General features: G+C 43.9%; 1 protein-coding gene and 1 long non-coding RNA gene across 3 annotated transcripts in view; one reads left to right on the forward strand and one right to left on the reverse strand.

The window, feature by feature from the left end:
- Window positions 1-21,496, forward strand: part of ARHGEF33 (Rho guanine nucleotide exchange factor 33) — an 85,580-nt gene extending 64,084 nt beyond the window's left edge. The window contains exons 13-19 of one of the 2 annotated variants that reach the window (NM_001367623.3): window positions 415-498; window positions 2,941-3,089; window positions 4,076-4,240; window positions 5,883-6,690; window positions 12,048-12,187; window positions 17,912-17,986; window positions 19,052-21,496. In NM_001367623.3, the coding sequence (NP_001354552.1) occupies window positions 415-498; window positions 2,941-3,089; window positions 4,076-4,240; window positions 5,883-6,690; window positions 12,048-12,187; window positions 17,912-17,963 (1,398 nt within the window). In that variant the 3' untranslated portion in view covers window positions 17,964-17,986; window positions 19,052-21,496. The remainder of the gene's footprint in view (window positions 1-414; window positions 499-2,940; window positions 3,090-4,075; window positions 4,241-5,882; window positions 6,691-12,047; window positions 12,188-17,911; window positions 17,987-19,051) is intronic. The other variant, NM_001145451.5, reaches the window with a different exon arrangement.
- On the reverse strand, window positions 5,329-6,386 carry LOC375196 (uncharacterized). The gene has a single exon (NR_028386.1). It is a non-coding gene; the product is annotated as an uncharacterized LOC375196 (long non-coding RNA).
- Window positions 21,497-22,655: the final 1,159 nt, after the last annotated feature.

Below are 22,655 nucleotides of genomic sequence, written 5' to 3' on the forward strand. Positions count from 1 at the left end.
TAATGACACTCCCTTTTCCATTGTCCTGAAGCGCCAAGTCTCCCTTAGAGCCTGTTACTACACCATTGTCATGATTACTTGCTGGAGAGTCTTAATGAATTAATTCAGCTAAAATATAGTTCATTGAGTGCCCGCTTCTGTCTGGAACTGCGCTGAGTGGAAGGAGAGGGTAGTTTGGAAATTTGGGTGGATTCAAAATAAGTATATGATATGCTCCCTGAGGGAGAAGAGCTGTCTCCTAGGGCATGTCCCTGAACATGTGGCCTCTCCTATGAGACAGCAATGCTCTATGACAATCTCTGGGAAGAAAATGCTCTGGGAGGAAACCCTTCCTACCCTGGTGGGACTGATTCGAGGTTCTGCTGCCACAGCTGGAGGAACACTGAAGAGTAACTTGACCTTTCTTTCATTCAGGGTGATGAAGAGATTAAATCTGACATCTACACGTTGTTTTTTCACATAGTCCAGCGCATCCCTGAATATCTGATACATCTGCAGGTAGGCATGGGTGGGAAAGCCACCAAACTGATTTGCATGCTAAGTAATTATTGGTTTTGGCTCCCAACTGAGAAATACTGTAAAGCCTCAAGAATCATTAATATTTCTAAGAAGTGTTTATTTAGATTGTTATGATTACCTGATAACCCATAATACCCTGTGGTATGAGCTAAAACCTTTTTTTTTTTTTTTTTTGAGACAGAGTCTTGCTCTGTCACCCAGGCTGGAGTACAGTGGTGTGATCTAGGCTCACTGCAACCTCTGCCTCCTGGGTTCAAGTGACTCTCCTGCATCAGCCTCCCGAGTAGCTGGGACTACAGGCATGTGCCACCATGCCCAGCTAATTTTTGTATTTTTAGTAGAGATGGGGTTTCACCATGTTGGCCAGGCTGGTCTTGAACTCCTGACCTCAAGTGATCTGCCCGCCTCAGCCTCCCAAAGTGGTGGGATTACAGGTGTGAGCCGCTGCAGCCAGCCTAAAATCTTTATTTCTAAAAATTTTCAGCTCATGATGCTTACCTCTGAAGTTCTATCTTTACTTACCAGCAACTTCCACCTCAGCTGATCCAGGATCTTTCTAGAACCACTCCTGCTAGATTCTAAGCACCTCATCCAGTTCTTTCCATTTTGGTTTTTACAGCTATCTAAATGCCACCACCTGACATCTAAATATCCATCTAACCTGTTCACTTAACTGCTATCCTGACTACTTTCTTTTGGCATTGGTCCAAGGTTCTACCATGCCATGCTTAAGCTTTATGTCACAGAAGAGGCATGAAGATGATGAGCTGATGTCTTCACACCAATTTCCTGCAGGACTTGTGATATCCTGGAGGAAGAAGAGTTGAAAGAGAGGTTCACTAACCCCCACCAGACCCTCTTCTTCCCACCACCCACCTGTTCTGGTTTAATTGCTGACTGATCTTCTTAAGTAATTCAATGAAAGCGTCTTAGAAATGCTTGGGATTAATTTCAGGTAGAAGTAGTCCAGTAGTCCAGTATCAAAGCATCAATATTGAAAAGACTTTTTTTTTTTTTTTTTTTTTTTTTGAGTCAGGGTCTGGCTCTGTTGCTCAGGCTGGAGTGCAGTGGTGTGATCTTGGCTTGATCTTGGCTCACTGCAGCATCAACCTCCCAGGCTCAAGCAATGCTCCCACCTCGGCCTCCTGAGTAGTTGAGACTACAGGCACTTGCCACCATGCCTGGCTTATTTATTTATTTATTTATTTTTATTTTTTGAGATGGAGTCTCACTCTGTCGCCCAGGCTGGAGTGCAGTGGCATGATCTCAGCTCACTGCAACCTCCGCCTCCCGGGTTCATGCCATTTTCCTGCTTCAGCCTCCGGAGTAGCTGGGACTACAGGCGCCCACCACCACACCCGGCTAATTTTTGTGTTTTTAGTGGAGATGGGGTTTCACCGTGTTAGCCAGGATGGTCTCGATCTCCTGGTGATCTGCCCGCCTCACCTCCCAAAGTGCTGGGATGACAGGTGTGAGCCACCACCCGTGCCCTGAAAAGACTTTCAACTGTATATAGCTTTAGATCCTAAAAGCATTTTCTCACAATAATGATCTTATTTAATCCTTTCAACAATCCCATGAAATAGGTATTATTGTTGTCATGTTTTACAAGAGAAAATGCAGGGCCAAATAAGTTAACAATTTACCCAAGTTAACACACCTAGTAGGTAAAAAAAACTAGGACTGAAACCCAGGTTTTGCAAATAGTAGAATATGGCAAACAAGCCCTGGTTCTACTCTCTGACTTGAGTTCAAATCTTGCCTCCATTATTTACTAGATGTGTGACCTGATGAAGATCATTTACCTTCTTCGTACCTCGATTTCCTTACTTGTTAAATGGAGTTTATAATGGTACCTATTTAAGCACGTTGCGGTAACAATTAAATGAGATAATATACATAAAGGGCTTACTACCTGGCAATAGGAAGTACTCGATACATTTTAGCTTTCCCAAATCCAAGTCCTAGGCATGTTCCACTACAGCACAGCGGGGAATGTAACAGAAGGGGCCACCAGGCTTGATCATAAACATCCCCCTCCCTTGCCTGCCTTGATGCCTGACGTTCTCATCATTGGTCTGGCTCTTTTGAGTTAAGGCACTACTTATAGACAGTAATTGTTAGAATGCCGCTATTATTTCAGAGGTCCAATTAGGAGATGCTTCTAACTTTTCAGATGAAATTATTTTATGTTCACATTCAACTCAAACAGGTACGATAGTGACTTATTTTCCGTTGGTATGATAGAGAGCAGCCAGTTTGACCTTTCAGCGTATAATTAGATGGGGGTCATGTGTATTGTTCATTGTTTTGATTAAATGGCTATGAATCTCCCACAATAGATCAAGGTGAGGTGCAGAAGAGAAAAAACAAATTTTCATGCTGATTATGCAATGCTACTTCCTTTTCCCCTCCATCCAGAACGTCCTGAAGTTCACAGAGCAGGAGCACCCTGACTATTATCTACTACTGGTGTGTGTCCAGCGCCTCCGAGTATTTATCTCACACTACACCCTGCTGTTTCAATGCAATGAAGATTTGCTTATTCAGAAACGGAAAAAGCTCAAGAAGTAAGGTTCTGATGGTGTGGTCTAGAGGGTCGAAGACCAGTTACTATGGGTGTCTTTCACAAGTAACCACGTTGTGTGTTAAGTACCTGAAATGCAGTGGTGGGAGGTAGAAGGAAAGAGAGAAGGGGAGAGAAAGAGCTAGTCAGACTGGTTATAGGAGCAAGACACTGACTACCCAGTGGAAATTATTTTAGCAAAAAAAACACTTCACTCTACTGCTTACATAGACCCCCTCTCATCCCATGTTGCTAACCACCTCAAAAATAGTTCAACTGCCCTAAACTTGCCTGGTTCAAAACTGCAGTTAAAAGACCACAACATAGTTTTCTTTATTAATTCAACAGATATTTATTGAGCACCTATTGTGTGTCAGGCACTGTTCCATGCACTGAATATAGTGAAAGGAACAAAATGGCCCCAACCAAATCTTTGCCACATGGAGTTTCCTTTTTAGAGTTGGACAGTGAACAAATAAATAAGATGGTGATATGTGATATGGATAAAAATAAAGCAAATAAGGGAGAGGAATTTCAGATAGGTTTTATATTAGGGAGAAATAGGAAGTGTGGATTAGGGAGGATCTGAGCTTCGGAGGGAACAGAAGCAACCCACAGCACAGCTTCCTAATGACCTGGATTTCCTTCAATTTCATCCCAACTCCTGTGGAGGAGAACAACCATTTCTGTGGAAGCCGCAGACCAGAAAAAGATGCTGTCTCCCAAGCCAGGGTTCCTGTTATGGAAGCTGTCTCTCCATACCCCCAACCCCTTCCCCCAAGCTCTTTTCAGCCAGTGAATCAGCTTCCCTAGTCCTGCCAGCTTGCACCCTATTAAGCAAAGCAACTTAGTTTGCAAAGGCCCCTGGAGATAGAGACCTTCACAGCAAACTTTATCTGAGACATCTCTCTATCTTTTTTGGCATAATATGTGTTCAGAGAGCCAGTTTGCCACTGTACAACCTGAGAACTGTTATTTCCATTCTGTTAGGTCATCCATGGCGAAGCTGTACAAAGGGCTGGCTTCCCAGTGTGCCAATGCTGGGCAAGATGCTTCCCCCACTGCAGGTCCTGAGGCTGTCCGTGACACTGGGATCCACTCAGAAGAGTTGCTGCAACCCTACCCTTCTGCTCCCAGTTCTGGCCCTGCCATCACGTAAGCACCTGTTGCTGTGGGAAGGTTAATGCCAATGCCTTTGGGACCCAGCCAGTCTGTGCGGGTTAGCAGGGCAGCCTAGATTCCTCCATCCCCTTTCCCCATCAGGCCTATATGTGCCAACCAAGCAGCCAACCCGATTCTTGGGTCCCAGAGGAAGGCACTAATGTTAAGGGACAGGTGTAGAAAGTGGGAAGAGAGGCAGAAAGTAGATATTTACTTCATGGATCACTTCAACTCTTGAAGCAGTTACAAAACTTCATCTTCTTTGAAATGCAACAAATAGAGCCAAAATATGAAACCCCTAGAGATTATACCCAGACTCAACAATATGGCTGCCACTGCACTCTGCGTATGGAAAATAAAACCCCCAATCTTTCTTCCAAGTTAAAAGAGAATTCAAATGAGGTCAATATTTTGTTTCACTCTTTCACATGTTAACGTGAGACCTAATTTTCATTTTCAGACCACCAGAGTAAGATATTGGTTTTAGCATTTATATTTGCATTGTTTTTATTTTTTTTTGAGACCGAGGTACAATGGCATGATCTCAGCTCACTGCAACCTCCGCCTCCCAGGTTCAAGGGATTCTCCTGCCTCAGCCTCCCGACTAGCTGGGATTACAGGCACCTGCCACCATGCCCGGCTAATTTTTGTACTTAGTAGAGACAGGGTTTTACCATGTTGGCCAGGCTGCCACCATGCCCGGCTAATTTTTGTACTTTTAGTAGAGACGGGGTTTTACCATGTTGGCCAGGCTGGTCTCAAACTCCTGACCTCAGGCGATCCGTCTGCCTCGGCCTCCCGAAGTCTTTATGCATTTTTGTGGTAGAATTAAAATATGAATACATAAACTAGCAGAATAACCACTTCTGGTCAGTGTCCACTTACATCTGTCAATTTAAGTCCAGAACAACTGGACATCCCATCTGATGGTACCCTATCCTAGTTTGTAAACTGTGTAAATTATCCATTACCCATGACTCCAAAACCAAAAACCCTCCATGAAATTGGGCATATCGAGTGACAGCTTTTACATGTTGGTAATTCTTTGTGGGTGGAAGTTTGAGATTAATTATATAGCATGCTTTACAGTGACAAGGAATATTTTAAAATTTTTATTATGAAAATTTCAAATTTACATAGAAGAGTTCAGTGAACTCCACATGCCCTCATCCAGATTCAACAGTTATCAAGATCATGCCACGTTTACTTTATCTAGGAACGTAATTTGTTTCTGAGTGTGAAGATCCACAAGTCGAACAGAAGTTGAGTTTTCCATTATTCCGTATGACTCTGCTAGGGCAAGCAAGGGAGAGAAGAGAGTTGAAGGTGTGCCTTGGAGCACCGCAGGTGGTGAGGAGGGTCAGGGCTTCCACGCGGGGTGATGACAGTCCCTGGCCCGCAGGCCATTTCCCAGAAGCTCAGACAATACCTTCGGGCCTCCGCTCGACGGACTGCCTTGTCCACTCTCCGCCTGGGAACGGGGGTTCGTGGGAGCGCCTTAGTGGAAGTTTGTGGAGCTCGGGAGGTGGCATGCACAGGCGCCTCGGAGCGCGGCCCCGAGGGGCGCCGGCAGGCGAGAGGCCTGCACTAACCGGCCGTAAGCACAGCTCTTTTGTACTCTGTTTTCCCCCTAAAGACATCTGATGCCCCCAGTGAAGAAAAGCCAACAGCAGCAAAGCCTGATGGAGAGCATGCAGCCCGGGAAGCCCAGTGACTGGGAGCTGGAGGGCAGGAAGCACGAGCGGCCCGAGAGCCTTCTGGCACCGACGCAGTTCTGCGCGGCCGAGCAGGACGTGAAGGCGCTGGCCGGGCCCCTGCAGGCCATCCCGGAGATGGACTTCGAGTCCTCTCCGGCGGAGCCGCTGGGCAACGTGGAGCGCTCCCTGCGCGCCCCGGCCGAGCTCCTGCCCGATGCCCGCGGCTTCGTGCCCGCGGCCTACGAAGAGTTCGAGTACGGCGGCGAGATCTTCGCGCTGCCCGCGCCCTACGACGAGGAGCCGTTCCAGGCTCCGGCCCTCTTCGAGAACTGCTCGCCTGCCTCCTCCGAGTCCAGCCTGGACATCTGCTTCCTGCGGCCCGTCAGCTTCGCCATGGAGGCCGAGCGGCCGGAGCACCCGCTGCAGCCGCTGCCCAAGAGCGCTACGTCGCCGGCGGGCAGCAGCAGCGCCTACAAACTGGAGGCGGCGGCGCAGGCGCACGGCAAGGCCAAGCCGCTGAGCCGCTCTCTCAAAGAGTTCCCGCGTGCGCCGCCAGCCGACGGCGTGGCCCCACGCCTCTACAGCACGCGCAGCAGCAGCGGCGGCCGCGCGCCCATCAAGGCCGAGCGCGCCGCGCAGGCGCACGGCCCGGCCGCCGCCGCCGTCGCCGCCCGCGGCGCATCCAGGACCTTCTTCCCCCAACAGAGGTCCCAAAGCGAAAAACAGACCTATTTGGAAGTAAGGAGGGTAAAGTAAAACCGAACCGAAACCCACAGCGTCGACGGCCCCAGGCCTAGATCTGCAGGAAGCATCCCGAGTTCTCCTAGCGTGGAGAGGAGCGGGGCCGGGCCAGGCTAGGGGGCGGCTGCGCGAGCCGTCGGCGGGTGGAGGCGGAGGGAGAGCAGGGGCAGCCCCCGCGCCCTGCGAGCTGTAGGCTGCTGGGCCCTGGAAGGCGAGTGGCAGCGCCTGTTCTCCAGTACCAGGACCCAAAGAGCTTGCCTCATATGGTACACGAGGGATGGCAGAGGTAGCAGAGAAGCCCGCCACTCTTTAGACCTGATTAACACACACGCATTTAGGGAGTTATGGGTAATCTCTTCCTGCTTATGTGAAGAGTTGCACTTTTTTCAGAGCCCCGCACGCAGGTCCCGGGCCAGTGTGTTTCTTCTGTCTGTGAGGTGTCGTTTCTATGTTGAGAATATGGAACACGGTGCGCCAGCCTACTCCACTTCTTCCCGGCAGCATTCTTGCTTGTAGCTAGGGAGGAGGCAAGTTGCCCTAGCTCAAGGTAGACTCGCTGCGCAATTTGCTGCAAAGCCAGCTTTATTTCTGCTTGCTTTTCTTTTGACTGGAAAAGAGTGTCCTATTAATTTGCAAACTCTATTGGGTCAGGGACATCCCAAAATAGAAACCTTCTTTGGCCTCAGTGAATGTTGAGGTATTCTGATGGCCAACCCCTGTGTCTGCAGGTCTACAGGTGTTTGATATTTTGGTGTCTAATTGTGGTGTCTGCAAGCCTGGAGGGCATTTAAAGAGGTCTTTAAATACTTATCCATGAAGTGCTAATAGTTTCTGAGCAAATAATTGCTCTGATCTGATTAAGCAGAGCATAAGTAACATGATAGTTCTGACCTGTGCGACCACCCTTCCGTTCCAACTATTCTCATTTTCGAATGGAAACAGTGATGACACTGACTTTTCTCATTCATTAATTTTTCAGCAAACACTGAGTTCTTGTCTTGTACCAGGCTCTGTGCTAATTGCTGAAAATTCAGAAATAAACCAGTCTCTATCCTCCGGGACCACTGGCTTAGTACAGGAAGGAGACACAGGAACACAGAATTATGTAATAAACTGTGGGAGCACATGGGAAGGATATTTAAAACCTTTGGGGTCATGGTGGTCAGAGAAGGCCTCCTAGATAAGTTGAATGTCCGAATTAGATTGTAAAAGCTGCCTAGAAGTTGGCTAGGGGAAGAGTGAGGTAGGGAAGCGTGAGAAAAGCATGGTGATGCCTTTTCTCTGGCATACTGTGCCATGTCAAAGTGGTGGAAATTAGGCCAGAGGAACAGGAAGGGGCGGGATCATGAAGAGCCTTGGAGCTTGCTGCCCACCTGCACTCCAGCAGTGAAAGTCTGTGTCTGGTCCCTGCAGAGGACAAAAACATGTAATAGTGTGCTCAGCTAAAGCTGCTGAGGTTCCCTGGGGTTCTCAGATTTTCCTCTAGCTCTGATTTTCAACCCCAAGCTTTGTAAAATTTGATTAGGCAGAATTTCTTGGAGAAATCAATCTTAGGCATGTGTCAGAGTTTAGAAGTTTATTGAAAGGGGAAGTAAATGGAAATTATAGTGCCAATTCAGTGTGACTTGGGATAAGCAGAGGTTTACATACAAAACCTTCTAACTAGTATAGTCTGTACTGTAAAGAACTTTTATTTCGTATGTAATAACAATGTCCTTTTGTAGTTGATTTGTGAAAAATTTGGGGTTCAACAATTGTAAGGCAAAAACCATTAATCAGAAATATATCTGAGAAGCAAACAATGAGTAATATATTTGTGGCTGTTTACCAGACATACCAAATAACAATAACAGTGTATCAGGAACCGTTAATTGCACATACTGGCCAGCAAGTTTCATCTCCTAACAGTGTAAGACATGCGTCAAGTCAGTTCAAAATGAGATACCAAGGAAATTGCAAATGGAAGTCAGTTAAAAGAGGCATTTTCTCTAGCAATATCATTAAAATTTTCAAGCATGCAAAGTTCCCATTACTTATTTCTGTTTCTAGACACAATTTTTCTTTCTAAAAACTTAAAAGGCCCTGGTTGTGGCCGGGTGCGGTGGCTCACGCCCGTAATCCTAGCACTTTGGGAGGCCGAGGTGGGCGGATCATGAGGTCAGGAGATCAAGACCATCCTGGTCAACACGGTGAAACCCCGTCTCTACAAAAAAAAAAAAAAAAAAAAAAAAATTAGCCGGGCATGGTGGTGAGCACCTGTAGTCCCAGCTACTCAGGAGGCTGAGGCGAGAGAATGGCGTGAACCCGGGAGGTGGAGCTTGCAGGGAGCCGAGATCGCATCACTGCACTCCAGCCTGGGAGAAAGTGTGAGACTCTGTCTCAAAAAAAAAAAAAAAAAGGCCCTGGTTATTAGAAGTCCTAGAGAGAGGTAGCATGCAGAGTGCAGGTGGGCAGAGACCATGTGGGTATACATATGTGCATGGGCATGTATGTGCACGTCTGCATGTCTAAGTATATATATGCATGTTTGTGTGTGTTGGAGGTGATGGTGGAATGGTGTTTTAGTTGCAAAAGATAAACCCCTTAAAAGCTCTATCCTTAAAGGTATCAACTCTTTGCTTTTGAGATGTGCAAAACTCCTAGTGTTTCTTCCCTTTAAATACTCTGTATATCTTTCACCCAGCCCAGCAGAGCTAGCCGAGACCTAGTCTTTAGTGTTTTGTCTCTTTTAGAGTCAAGAAAGAAGATGGTATGCTCTAGTGAGAACACGTGACTGTCAGGAGCTCTAGGTTCTAGTCCTGGCTCTGCTGCACAGTAGCTGTGTGCTTTTGGACAAGTCACTTGGCTTCTCTGTGCCTCCAGTTGTCTCAAAATAAAACAACCTATCTCACAGGGTTGTTGGGAGGATCAGGCCAAAGAAGATACAATTTTTGAGTAGGCTTTATAAAGTATGAAATGCTATTGAGATCATGGTTCCATAGAACGATTTTCCTTAAACCATTAATAGATTTAGTCACTAAATAGTCTCTAAAAGCCCATTTCTCAAAATATGGGGGTATTAGCAAATGCATTGCCTGGGAACTTGTTATAGATGCAGAATTTGCACCCCAGACCTACTGAATCAGAATTTAGGATCATTCGCGGTGATTGATATAAACATTAAGTGTAGGTGGGCAGAAGCATGCCTTAAGTCAGTGGTCCCCGACTTTTTTGGCACCAGGGACCAGTTTTGGGAAAGGCAATTTTTCCACAGACTGCGGAGGGGGAGGTGGTTTTGAGATGATTCAAGTGCGTTACAATTTATTGTGTACTTTATTTCTGTTATTATTACGTTGTAATATATAATGAAATAATTATACAACTCACCATAATCTAGGATCAGTGGGAGCCCTGAGTTTGTTTTCCTGCAACTAGACGGTCCCATCTGGGGGTGATGGGTGAGAGTGACACCTGAAGTGTGTCACTTATGTCCAATCTACTCTGTAATCTCATTTTGGTTGCTGTCACTGCAGAAAACCCTGCTTCACAAAGATGGGATGCTGGAAATGGAAGCAGGCTTTTCAGTGCTTTGTGGCAGTCTCATGATATTCTGCCTTGACTTTAATCCAGAACGTATGGAGATTTGAAATTATCTCAAACCTACTTTTAAGGCCACCAGATGCAGCTGTACCATTGAAGTTCATCAACTCACTTGCAACTGTAAAGACTGCCACCAGATGCAGCTTAATTGTCACTTGCCACTTACTGATAGGGTTTTGATATGAGTCTGCAAGCAATTGATTTATTATGGTCTCTGTGCAGTCTAACCTCTCTGCTAATGTTAATCTGTATTTGCAGCCACTCCCCAGCATTAGCATCATTGTCTCAGCTCCACCTCAGATCATCAGGCATTAGATTCTCACAAGGAGTGCGCATCCTAGATCCCTTGCATGTGCATTTCACAATAGGGTTTGTGCACCTATGAAAATCTAATGCCACTGCTGATCTGACAGAAGGTGGAGCTCAGGTAGTAATGCAGGCAATGGGGAGCGGCTATAAATACAGATGAAGCTTCGCTTGCTCACCCACCCCACTGCTCACCTTCTGCTGTGTGGCCCAGTTCCTAACAGGTCACAGACTAGTACTGGGAGTTGGGGAACCCTCCCTTAAATCATTCGTTTTCAAATCTAAGTGTGCGTAAGGATTACCTAGGCCTAACTGCAGAGATTCTGATTCACAAAGTCTGGGATGGGGCTCAAGAAGCTACATTTTAAATAAAGGCCCAACCTGATCCTGTAGTCACAGGACCGCACTTTAAGAAACACTGCATGTCTAGCTCCATGGTCTAGTTATGAATCTTAGTAGAATCTCAGAGAATTTCTGTATCTGCAACCCCCAGTTCTCAAAGTCAGACCCATATGTTTCCCGAAAAAAAAAAAAATCCACCCTAACACTTTGCTTCTCTGTCAGCAAGCAGTCACCTATCTAATTCATGAGACTTTTAGGGCATCATTGGTGTGGTTTTTGCTTTGACTTCTTGGGGTTCTCTAAAGGTTATTCAAAATTCAGCAGCTGTTTTTAAAGTTGCTCTTAAATTATAGTCACCTCAAGGTAAATACTTTGTTCGTATGGAATATAAACATGTATATAAGTGCATATCTGGCTTGTATGCATATAAATATACATGCACTTCTATTTAGCACATCTCACACTTAGAAAAAACTAGAGAGGTCACAAAAGATACAGCCTTATTTTTAACTTATTTTACTTTATACTCCAAATAGCATGGGTTAAGAATTGTAAAAACTGTATTACAGGCATATTTTCAGGTTGAAAGTATTAGTTGACATTTACTTCTAAACAGGTCTGACTTCTCAAAAATGCCTTCCCTCGATTATGCTTAAAATGGAGAGTTAGGAACATGAGTTTAAAACTAGCATTACAAGTAAGGAACATCCTTATTTTGTAGAAAGAGAAACACCTGGAGATAAGAGGGGACTGCTACTGGTTTTCTAGCACGACAGTGTTGGTGTCAAAATAATAATTTATTCACTCGTGGAGGACGTTCTTGCAGTCTTCTTTTAAAGTCCACTTTTTAAACATTAGCTAATGTTCTTTATTTCCTTATCTTTAATTATTGTTATATATTACACTAGACTATTTGCCTTGATACATAGAAAATACTACACTCAGCAGGAAATTATCCTCTTTTCGCCTGCTGGTTTCTTCATTAGCCTAGGTTTGCTTTAGTTGGGATTGGGTGCCCACTGGTAGTCTTTTGGCATGGGAGAGGAAAGTCACAACACCACAAAATTGTCCCATAGTCAGGATCCATAATAACATTGGAAGGAGTAAAGAAAAAAATCCCTCTTTTTTGTTTCCAGGAGATGCATTTAGAAGATACTACCAGATTCTGTCCCAAAGAAGAAAGAGAAAGTGAACAAACATCTTTCAGCGATCAAAATCCCAGGCAAGACCAGAAGGGGGGCTTTCGCAGCTCCTTCCGCAAGCTCTTTAAAAAGAAGTGAGTAGCCCTTAGACAAGACAGCATTGTAACTCATTTCCCTTTGGGCTAAATCTTGAGGTTTTAACAATAATAAGTATCAAGTAGCCTGGTCTCACACAACTGCTTCAAGTACAGTGCCTGCACCCAGTAGCCACAGTTCCGGCGGGGTGAAGATGTTTCTCATTGTAATATCCCAGAGTAGAAGCAAACTCAGCTCTCTGCCCTGCCTCTTCTGTCTTTTATCCCTCCTTCCTTGTTCCCAAAGTCATGTGTCTTGAGAGGAGTGGGCAGAGGTGGTTCCCTTGAGAAATGAGCTGGTGACAGTCAAAGCCCTTTTAGACTGGGAGGAGTGGGATCCACTATTGGGGTTGGGTGTCATGGGTGCTCCATCAGATCTCCCCATCTGTGGAAAGTTTTCTAAGGGATCTCAGCGCTTCTGCATTTAGGGGCCTGTTGTCATCCTGGGTGCCAATTCATGTTTATTAGGACTTCTGTTAGTGCTTTCCCTGAATGAGTGGATTTGGCTTGGCCCTAGTTAGAAATCACTTTAATGGAGTTTCTGTATTCCATAGGAGGCAAAAATAAGGCATTTTCCTCCTGTGGTCCTTCTGAGATTCTAAGTCGTTGTTGTGTAAAACATCACCCACAGGCATTTTGGTCAGCACTGTCTTACAGTCTGGGAGGCAGTGGCCAAACCCCAGCATAAAATGTAAGGAAGAGAGAGGTGAGCATTAGCATTTGACTGTAGAGGGATCTGCCAGTCCAGCCACTGCCTGCCTGAGAGACTGCTGTTTCAATCTCCACTGGCTCAGCCTACCTCCCTCTCCCTTAGAGAGATTTTTCCTGCTGCTTAGTTACTCTTGGTGGAGGATGTTCTTGCAGTCAGTTTTAAATAACAAGTCTTCATATTTTAGTAGATGGAAAAGTTAAACAGAGGCATTATTGCTGCCTTTGGAGAGTTGCCAATAAGTGAGGAAGCACAGGGAAATCACCTTTTCCTTGAAGGTCGAGGTCACTGGCTGATTTAGACTGTGGTCCTCATGGAGGAATTGGGGGCAACCCTGGAGTGAGGACTTTGTTTTTGCTGGTTTGTCTAATTGTAATTATCCTCCTGTGGGGAGGGTGGTACTGAGATTAGTGGGCCTCTGACTGTTGGTCTCTCCCTGTTGTTACTGGAGAAGGGGGAAGAGGAAGGAAGAGCGACAGCTCTGCATGTAGCCATAGCCCTGCATTCTCTCTCAGTTTTGCTAAGGAACCCAGTGCATGCTTGCATGCTGCTTTGCTGGATCCTCAACCCACCTTACTCAGGATTTGAAGAGTTGAGAATTGTATTCCTCTTTCTAGGATCATATAGACTTAGATCTTTCTTGACCCAGCGCCAACATCTGTCAAGTTGACAGGGGTGGGAGAACCTGGAAACAGACACCTCTCCAGCCCACCCTGATTTAGACTCCTGAATCTTTCTTGAGACGGAGTCTGGCTCTGCTGCCCAGGCTGGAGTGCAATGGCGCAATCTCGGTTCACTGCAGCCTCTGCCTCCCAGGTTCAGGCTATTCTCCTGCCCCTGCCTCCTGAGTAGCTGGGATTACAGGTGCCCGCCACCACGCCCTGGCTATTTTTTTTTTTTTTTTTTGTAGAGACAGGATTTCACCATGTTGGCCAGGCTGGTCTTGAACTCCTGACCTCAAGTGATCCATCTGCCTCGGCCTCCCAAAGTGTTGGGATTACAGGCGTGAGCCACCGCACCCGGCCAGACTCCTGAATCCTTCTAAGGACTGCAAAATCCTAAGGGCACAGCTTGAGCCTATCTTTTTTTTTTTTTTTTTTTTTTTTTTTTAAACCACAGTATTCCCACAACAAACAGCCATTTTTTGCCCACTGTCATTTATAATGACTGGGTGCTGTCTATTGGAAAACAATGAGCAATAGATTCACCACTGGTCCCTTTACTAATTCCTATTTATCAGAGAGATGTAAGAAAATGTTTTGCCAGTGACATGAGGCAGAGGGAGTGGATTTGTCCTCTCTGGATTCAGAGGGCAGAACTAGGAGCAGTGGCTAAGAGGAAGAATTTCCTAAAAATGCAGCTGCGTGGAACTGGAGCTGGCTGCGTCATGAAGGAATGGATTCATGGGATGCCTCTGGTCAGGGATGCTATGAAAGTGGTGCCTGCATGGAGTGGGAGATTGTTTAAAAAATCACCAGAGTCCTTTCTAGTGTGGAGATTTGCTTTATCTGTAGTTTGACTTTGTTGTAGCTTGATCTGAGTAATCACATCTTTATATCACCTGAAACAAGAAATTAATGAAGCCTTGGGACCCATAATTTTGAAGCCCTAGCATGTAGAAGACCAGGTTTTATCTTTCTGTAGCTCCCCACTGACCTTGGTATAATGTAGAGGACTTGCTATGGGCTCTCCAAGTTCATGTTGGTTAATTGCTGTCAGTCCTCTTGTGGCTGTTCGGGATTCTCCTTAGATAAAGAGCCAGTGGATTCCCTTAGTCCTCTTGTCCTTTCTCATAGATCAGTCCCTCCTGCATCAATCATGTTGCCACCACCAATACTGGTGCTGTCCTTTGTATTTAAAATCCGAAGTGTTGTCTGAGTGGAAGTAAAGGTGGAGCCACAAAGAAGACTGTCTGTCTGGCAGGATTTCCTGGCTTTTTAGATCTGGCCTAGGGCAGTCAGTACCATCAGGTGCTTAGGGTGCTGCAGTGGGCACTTTGGAGACTTTGCATGGGTTGAAGAGGCAGCTTAAGTAGCGTTTTCTGAGTGTTTTCATATGAGGACCATGGAAAATTTGCTCCATTATAAGGTAGAGAGGAAGGTCAGGGAGGCCCCAGTGTAGCACAGGAAGGGCAGTGGCTTTTAACTCAGATGAGAACACACCATTCTTCTCATCAATTAAGCATTCAATCTTACATGCATGCACTATGCAAGACACTTGTATAGGAACCATGAGCGACATAGTCCCAGCCATTACACAGGAACTTGCACTCTGAAGTCAGGCCTGTGGACAGGTATAGGAAGGAACCAGAAGAGACATTCAGCCCATTTTCCTCCTGCGTGTCAGGAGGTCAGGCTGGCAGCAAGCCCTGGGACTTTAAGAAGTGGCCAATCCTGAGTACTGGAACCATTGCAGAGCCTGGCCTCACAGGTCCAAATGGGCCAGTGCCAGCAAAGCCACTTGTGTCATGTCTGGGGCTTGCTACCTTCCTCCCCCACAGCCCTCTGGAGGCTTATTCCTGTCTACACTGACACACTTTTTGTTCCATAGGGGCTTGTTTGGCTGGTGGCCCCACACACCCAGAATGCTGCTTCGGGATGAAGCTAGGCATGGAGCCAGATGCAGCAGAAAACCTGAGAAAGGGTTCTCTTCCCTCTGAGGCTGGGAGGGCCGAAGGCTCATACCCACAAGGATTCAAAAGGGAGAGTCAAGTTGACATCATTAAAAAAATCCTGAAAAATGCCCAAAATATTTGGGGAAAAGAATGACCTTCTGATTGTTTCCATCTCAGGCACATTTGTCCTGGGCAGACACAAGGTCACATGTCCCTGAAAGGTATCCATAATTGATCAGAATAAAGGCTACATATCTTAAAGTTTGGAAATGTTAAGTGATTTTACACATTTTAAATGAGGATTCTTAGAGGGAACAGACTTACTGTGGTAGGCTGATGTTAGCTAGACCAATACTTATTCCCCTGCCTTTGAGCAGGATGGAAGGCAAACTGTCCCATTCTAGAAGGATCTATACAGAGGCTGTCAAAGACTTAAACCTAGATTATTGTGAAGTCTGAGGCAAATGATACTTCATCTTAATATATACATCTTGCAACACTTAATGTTAACGCGTATTCTTGATGGCAGATGTGGCAGTGGGGAAGAGGATCACGTGAGATAACTTAGGAGTAGGGAATGTAGATGGTACTCTCTCTTTTTATCCTTAAATTTTGGGATAGTGGAAGATAAGGAATATGGCTTCCAAATGATTAATTCTACTTCCTCGCTCATTCTCTTCCTCTTTAGCACTTTAAAATTTACATGTGTCAGAGTGTCTCCCTTCTCATCATCACCCTCCATTAATCCCATCACTGTCTATTTTCTTAATCACACACAGAGAGAGTACTTCTACAGGGCCCCGTATGTAATCATTTTATCTCAGTGAATCCTCTTCTTTTGGTGTCTTCCCAGCAGTTTTTGTATATGCCCAGCTTCAGCTGTTGAACAGACCATGTAATAGAAAGCAGGGCTGCTAAAGAATCCATTGATAAGTTTATCTCACCTATTCTGTCTCCTTAAAGCTCATTTCAAGTCCCTCTCCCACTCTTACCCACTTTGGGGTTCTCTCTCATTTTCCATTTCATTTCCTATATAACTTGAACATTAAAGGGGATAATTGAAGGGGTAAACATTTTAGATTACTTAACCTTAATTACAAATGTTTCTCAATAAGCCATTTGAAATCAACCATTCAATTAAGTGTCTTCAATGTACTAGGTTCTGTCCAGCACAAAAGATGTAAGAGAAATAGTTCCTGCCCATTAGGAGCTTACAGATCAATTTAAGGATAACCTAACTATTGATACAAGGTATAGTACGTAGCACATAGTAGGCACTCAACAAATATTTATTAAATGAATGCTCATTTCCTTTGGGCTCTCCAAACTCATGTTGGTTAATTGCTGTCAGTCCTCTTGCAGCTGTTTGGAATTCTCCTTAGGTAAAGGGCCAGTGGATGCCCTTAGTCCTCTTGTCCTTTCTCATATATCAGTCCCTCCTCCATCAATCAGATTGCCTCCACGATACTGGTGCTGTCCTTTGTATTTAAAATCTGAAGTGTTGTCTGAGTGGAAGTAAAGGTGGAGTCACACAGGGCTGTTGCTTTGATTACCAGGGCTGACTGACTGGCCAACAGGATGGGTGTTTCCTTGCCCCTTTACTTCTTGAGACAGATGCATGTCTCCTAAAGCTTTCAAGGAGGATAGTCTTTCCAATCAGAGAACCAAGCCTTCTTAAATCAGAGGTTTTTGCAGCACTGGATTCAACTACCCCCATCCCCAGCTCCAAACAAAAGGTTTATTTATAGCAAATCTAGACTTGGTATGACCTACTGAATTTGCTATTTTCTTTGTCACTTGAGTGAAAGGAAAAGTTAGCAACAGGTCTGTTGTCTTTTCCTCTTTCCATCAAATACTTGGATGGTTATGTGTCAGTATGTCCTGGCAGCCATGGTACCCTTCCCCAGCGAGTGTTTGCCTGTCCCTACAATGTCTGCTCAGATGTGCCCTGCAGTCGGCCACGGTGGCTCCAGGAGCTCAAAAGCCATTTTTGTTTTATAGAGAAAGGGAATAAAAGCAAATCTGCTGGCCTTTTCTCCTTGATCCTGCAGGTTATTTCCTAGTAATTTAGGTATGCAAGGTATGCACTACTTCAGAGCCTAATGGCCACACCTTTGGAAGAGTCCAGGTGGCCACGTATATGTAAGCGTTATAAAGAGGTCAGTTAAAATGGTCTTTACAAGGATGAAAATGAGCTTTTAGTCATGGCTATAGTAGAATGCTGGATTTTGAAAAGGATGAGCAATTTAGCTGTTAGTTTAATTAATATCAAGAAATGCAGAGAAATTCAGACATTGGAGACATAGGGAAGGTACAATTTGTGAGAAGAGCAGTTAAAAAAATTTAAGCTGAGTTTATGGACTTTGAAAACTAGACAGGGCGATTTTGGCATTTGTTTCAGAAATGGGAACGCAACTGGTGAAGATTTCTGTGGTCCTTGGGGCTGGTGGTGACATCAAAGCTTTCCTATTTTCAGGTAAACACTAAACAGTTGCATGTTGGAACCATCAAAGTGTGACATGTTGGGTTTTGGATAGACCAGATGTAGCTAAGAGGGGAAATACGAGGCAAAGATTTCAAGTTTTGAGTAATGACTTTCTGATGAGAAACTGTCCTGTGGGGGAACAAGAAGAAATAGCAGCCCAATTCAAATCCTGCCCCTGACCTCCTGCCCCTAAAACATAGGCATTCCTAGTCTTCTGAATAATGGAAGACATAGAGAAAGAATGAGATGGTCAAAAATATATCTTCCTAAATTTGGGGCACAACTGCACTCATCAGGGATGATTTGAACTGGAGGTAAGGGGGATCTGTGAAAGACAAGAGAAGGCCCGGAGTTTTAGGGTGGGCCATGTGGAGGCTCTTTCAAGGGAGAACTCGGGGGGGTTCCTGAAAAGGAAGAGAACCTCATCCCACCCAGATATCTTGCTTGATGAGTATCCAGATGTACTGGAGTTGAGAGATAGAGTAGTTTTTCCTCTCTGCACTGGGATGTAGTGGAAAAGTGTTCCTTACCAACCAGAAGTAGAAAGCATGGTGGGCGGCTATGGCTTCATCTGTGATATTGAATATCAGAGGGCAAAGTGAAAATACCTAGTCAGTCATCAGGTTTCCAGACATTAGGGTTTTTAGTCTTTGTGGATCCAACTTCTTTCTTTGAATAATGTAAAGAGATGTTTGAATTCTGCCCATTAATTCAGTAAATGATAGTCATGATTAACTTATCTAATAACAAGAGTGAGGACTCAACAGTAGCAAACCAATGATAGTACAAGGACTCGGAGGCCCTGGATCCTTCTTTGGTGGATAGTGGAAGCATACCTGACAGCCTCAGCATATGGAGAACTTGGTCAGTTGTATAGAAGCTTTGGACAAGCAACTTCATGTCTAACATCACTTTCATACACCCTGCATGAGGTTTTTTGATATTGGTTCTTAGTGTCTGGACTAGTTTTACCCATTCTAGGTCAGAGTTTAAGCTAGCCAAAGGGCCCCAGTCTAGCTTATCAGAGGTTATTTCCAGAAAGCCTCCTCCCTCCAGGGACTTCTGACATGAGAAAACTGGAGAAGGTGCAGAGCTGGAATGGATTACCCAAGTGGCTTAAGCAAGATAAAGGAAGAATGCACCCTCGACTGGGGACTCAAATGGACTGATCTGAGTTGTTGACTATTGATTGGCTTTGGTCTCTTTTGTGGTGGTTGAGATTATAGTATCTCTGCAATCTGATTACTGTACGAATTTCTGCATTCTACCAAATGTAGCATATATGTGTGGTTGGCTTCAATAAATCTTTCATTTAACAATGAAAACAAGCAAGAGTTTGTAATGTAATGCCAAATTCAGTGAAGGTCCTTGATAACCTTGGTTGAGAACCATGATTTCCATCCATTTTAATTTAAGATCCTTGATAATTTGTGGAGTTGTTACTTCATTGAATCAAAAACAGGATTTCTTGAATTTTCTGAGCTTTTGTTCCCCTATTATGATGTTATTACACAATATCTTACACTGACATATACAATTGTCACAATTGTCCCCATAAAGCATTAGAAAGATATTCTCTTTATGTTCAATGCAAATCTTAGATACACATGTCCTAAGTCATGAAATTCAGGGGAGTAAAAAGTATTCCAGTTCTAGGAAGCAACTGTTTTACAAATGCAAAACAATTGGGATAGATAAAAATATTTGAAAACAATTAAAACCAAATCAACCTGTACTTTATCTGTGTGCTGAGATTTTAGGTCCAGTGGATCAGAATACAGGGAAAAAACTAATGAGAATCCCTCAATGGATCCTTCACCCACCAAACAAGATTTCTTCAGAAACCGACTTGCTCTTGCAAATGACCTTGACCAAGGAACAGCTGTGTAAAACATACTTAAAGTTGTATTGTCAAGTGGTAAGATGAGGATAAAAAGCTTGTATATATCTGTGTAGGAATATATATATATATCTATATCTATATATATATATATATCGATGTATAAATCCCTGAGGAAAACTAATATAAATACTTACATATGAAACTAAACATACAAGACATTGAAGAGATGAAGATTAGTTTCTGGTTAAGATCTGGCTTTTTGAACCTCAACACTGGGGAAAAGGGAAATGAAGACTTTTCACATCATTACAGAAAAACACAATAAATTTGGAGGAAAATAAATGTTTGTAAGAATGAAAACTTCCAACTTGAAGTCATTCCCCGAGTATAATACTGAGCATGTTCATATTTAACATGGATTTGAATTTTATGCTTCCTAGGCATTTAACTTATTAACTCATCCAGTGTTCTTAAACTAATATACACTATGTTAGGGGCCAGTTCTGTCTTGCTTCATGTCTTCCAAAAACCCTAAGGCAATATCTAACATCCCTTAAGGCAAAGGATTAATTAACAGAACTGTATTTTATATGTTGCATATCTGAGTTATGGAGAATTTGTGCTTAAACCATGATTCAGAAGGTTCAAAGCTTAAAAACACATTGATCTCCAAACTTGTTCTGTGGTTATGGAAATCAGTAAAGGGAACAAGGATTTCTGTAGAAACTGGGGAGAGAGGAAGGCAAAGAAACATTTTCCCTTGTGTGGGTTGAGCTGAGGATGGAAACAGTCCAGTCTGTGTTTTATTGAGTACTCAGTATTCAAGACCCACTCGTGATCTTGAGTGTCACACACACTCACAACCAGATGGACTAGGAAAAAAGCAGTGATTTAGCCACATCTTGTTAAAAAGACTTTCTGCAGCCTGAAAAGAAGGTGGCAATAGCACCAAAACTTCAATGGCTCACACACAGCAGTTGCTACAAACAGCAGGTCAAAGTGAAAATTCAGGATTGCAGCACTTGACTGTTTTCCTATTTTGTAAAGAAACCAAGCTCTTAAAGCTTAGAGGAATCAGATTGCAACGAGGCCTGCCTGGCTCTGGGGTGATAAAATGTGCTCTGTTTCCACATGGATATGTGCAAGATGGTCAGCATCCTTGATATGCCCCAAACATCAGATTTATAATAGAAAAAAAATTGGGTTTAAACAATTTGTCTTTATTCCCAGGCAGTTCGGTATAGTAAATTAGGGGTATTTGGTTTCTGTTCATTCAAAATCTTGGTACTCAAACTGGTGTCTTCAGAAGCTGTTCCTCTATTGAAGCGTTTGTTGATAAAATAGGCAAAGGTTCACATGTAAGTGTTGCAAGTTTTCTTCTCCTTGTCTGATGACAAATTAGGAACTCACCTACTGCGTTTTGAATAGTAGTTGTCTGGAACACATAAAGGATCACTGCCAAGTTTTTTGAGTTTCCAGGATCTAAGTTTAAGCCAAGATTTTTGTTTCCCAGAAGTTTATGAATTCATTTGAAATTAGATTTTTCTCTTATTATGTGGCCGGCAGTGCTTGCAAGCACAACGCCAAATCGACTGGACGTGGAAAGTGAAATACTACAGAAGTCACAATCTATTAAATAAAATGTTAACATAATAAAATTCTTTTCCCTTTCATCTTCTGTTTATCACTAAAATTGATCAGTTAGTAGAAAGGTTTAAAAACTATCACACACTTCACCAATTTTATTTTGGCAGCATCCTCTGAAAAATCTTGATGCTACATCTGTAGCATAACTCCAAAATAATTGAGTTGTATTTTATGAAACTAGCTTATGAAACTAGTAATAATTAACGCTGCTACGTACTTGCCTACTCTCCAGGTGAGTTCCCATCACTTGATACCTGAAGTTTTCCTGAGGTTTCTAACTGTCTCCAAGTACTCTTTGCTCCCATCTATCCTGCATGTCTCTAATACGGTATTCCCAAATATTGCTTTATGTGAAACTCTTCTGTTTTTACTTGTCTACAGTGAAATTCCAAACTTCTTGATGTGACATCCAAGGCTTGCTCTCTCCAGTAAGGCTTTCTTTCTTTCTGGCTACCATCTCATATTTTTCAGAGTCCTAGGTGGACTGACTTACCTCAAGTAAACTGGGTTTTTACCGTTTCCCAGTCAGCTGTGCACCTTCCCCAGGCTCACTCTTGCTTCATGCCCTTTCTCTAGTTCCTTCCTCTCTGCCGATCTTAAGACCCAGTTTAAGTGTCTTCATCTTTTTGTGACTTCTTGTGGTGTAACTTGTTTATCTCTTTATGTGTTTGTTGTGTCTTCCCAGTAAGAATGCAAGTCCCCTCAAGGGCAGGAACTATGGCATATATTTTTAAATTCCTTTCCACCTCTAGAAGACTGCATAGTAGGTGCTCAATAAGTAGCTGATGCCAACATTAATGGTGGTGCTTTAATAAGCAGAAAGCTACAGAAAATAATTTTTACTCTTAATTTGACAGAGAATTCAGTTATCACTCTACCTCCCTGCCTTTTTTTTAAAGAAAAAATATCAGTCATGAAGGAAATATAGTTGCCTTCAGAAGCAGTTAAAGCCACCACTGCCACTTTCACAACATCTAGCATTAGAAAACATCTCTCCAGTTTAAAAAAGGTCGTAGCTCACTGCAGCTTCAAACTCCTCAAGCAGTCCTCCTGCCTCAGCCTCCTGAGTAGCTAGGACTATGGGTGTGCACCACCACACCTGGCTGATTTAAACATTTTGTAGAGACAAGGTCTCACTGTGTTGCCCAGGCTGGTCTCAAACTCCTGGGC

This window comes from Homo sapiens, chromosome 2 (assembly GCF_000001405.40).
Source record: "Homo sapiens chromosome 2, GRCh38.p14 Primary Assembly".
Taxonomy (NCBI): domain Eukaryota; kingdom Metazoa; phylum Chordata; class Mammalia; order Primates; family Hominidae; genus Homo; species Homo sapiens.